At 45.9% G+C, this 2,072-nt stretch overlaps 1 annotated feature.

Moving 5' to 3' along the window:
- Nucleotides 1,284-1,521: a silencer, noted in NCBI's record as "fragment chr6:15013597-15013834 (GRCh37/hg19 assembly coordinates)". NCBI's record gives its function as "represses an EF-1alpha promoter that drives an FKBP-Casp9 reporter gene in an ReSE screen in HepG2 liver carcinoma cells {active_cell/tissue: HepG2}" and the evidence as "EXISTENCE:reporter gene assay evidence [ECO:0000049][PMID:32094911]".

The raw sequence follows: 2,072 nt of genomic DNA on the forward strand, positions 1-2,072 counted from the left end.
TAGTGGGTGCCTGTAATCCCAGCTACTCAGGAGGCTGAGGCCAGAGAATTGCTTGAACCCAGGAGATGGAGGTTGCAGTGAGCCAACATGGTCCCACTGCACTCCAGCCTGGGTGACAGAGTGAGACTCTGTCTCAAAAAAAAAAAGAAAAGAAAAAAAAAGAAAAAGAAATGGTTAAGATGGTAAATTTCATGTTGCTTCTTACTACAATTTTTTAAATGGCTACCTTATTTAATCTCTGTGAGAATTAAATGATATCAAGTGCAAATGCCTGACACACAGTAGATGCTCGGTAAGTGTAACATTCTTTTCCTTCTCCTTCTGAATGGCTTGTGAATTATCACAAACATTAAAGAGACTTCTAGCATCCAAAGCCTATTGATATGGGTAGAAAGGGAGGATAAGATCTCAATTCATTTTCTTTGCCTCTCTCCTCCCTTTTCAACCCTTTGAATCAGGCCAGATCACCACCCACTATGGTTTGAATGTTTGTGTCCCCTCCAAAATTTATGTTGAAACTTAAATCCGCAATGCACAATATTAAGAGGTGGGGCTTTTAGGAGGTGATTCCATACGATGGAATACTGTGTGGAATATTCCCTCTCTGCCTTCATGAATGGGATTAGCAACTCTCTGAAAGGGCTGATGGGAACAGCATCCATTTCCTTTGGAGGATGCAGCAACAAGGGGCCACCTTGAAGGCAGAGACCAGCCCTCACCAGACACCAAGTGTTGGTGCCTCAGTCTTGGACTTCCCAGCCTCTAGAACTGAAAGAAATACATTTCTATTGTTTACAAATTACCTAATCTTGGTATTTTGAATAGTAGCATAAATAGACTAAAACACCAAACCAACTCAAAGCTCAGGCTAACAACTCTGGACACAGTGTGCCACCAACTCCAGAAGTGCTTGGCATCTGTCACCTAGTGTCCCAGAGCTGATCGCTGGGACTCCAGCAGCACACCCGGTCTCCCTTTGCTCCAAAAAGAACAGCCCTGAGACAATCCTTTCTATGTGCCTCCTGTACTTGTTAAAAGGTAGCAGTATATCCATGCATTTACAAAACCAATAGCAGATACCTCCGATGAACCAGGCACTGTTCTAGGCACAGGGAGTATGGCAATAAATAAGAGAGACAGGACGGGCAAAGTGGCTCACACCTGTAATCCCAGCACTTTGGGAGGCCAAGGAGGTCGGATCACCTGAGGTCAGGAGTTCAAGACAAGCCTGGCCAACATGGCGAAACCCTGTCTCTACTAAAAATACAAAAAACAAAATTAGTCGGGCATGGTGGTGGGCACCTGTAATCCCAGCTACTTGAGAGGCTGAGGCAAGAGAATCGCTTGAACCCAGGAGGCAGAGGTTGCAGTGAGCCAAGATCACGCCACTGCACTCCAGCCTGGGCAACAAGAGCAAAACTTTGTCTCAAAAAAAAAAAGAGAGAGAGAGAGACAAGGTACTTGCTTTCATGCTTTTCTTCCATTGGCCTCCTTTGGGGGCTCAGGTAATTTGTCAGTTTCCACCTCTCTGCCTTTGCCCATACTGCCTGGAGTCTTCTCCTGGCTTCTCTTTTTCATTCAAATAATAACCCTGACCCATCTTTTCAGACTCTGCCTCAAGTCCAAGCTCATTCTTACAATCCTTCAAACTCCTCTGATCAGGACTCTAAGTTTTCCTTTCCCTAAAGCACTTGTACCTAGAACCACATCACTCAGTGCTGAGTTACACTAGTCTTTCAACATGGCTTGGGATTCAATCTAGTTTTCTTTTCTTTTTTTGAGACAGAGTCTCATTCTGCCACCCAGGCTGGAGTGCAGTGGCACGATCTTGGCTCACTGCAACCTCCGCCTCCCGGGTTCACCCAATTCTCCTGCCTCAGCCTCCTGAGTAGCTGGGATTACAGGCACACACCACCACATCTGGCTAATTTTTTGTGTATTTTTAGTAGAGACAGGGTTTCTCTATGTTGGCCAGACTGGTTTCGAACTCCTGACCTCATGATCCACCCGCCTTGGCCTCCCAAACTGCTGGGATTACAGCCGTGAGCCACCACGCCCGGCCATGAATCTAG

Source organism: Homo sapiens, chromosome 6 (genome assembly GCF_000001405.40).
Source record: "Homo sapiens chromosome 6, GRCh38.p14 Primary Assembly".
Taxonomy (NCBI): Eukaryota; Metazoa; Chordata; class Mammalia; order Primates; family Hominidae; genus Homo; species Homo sapiens.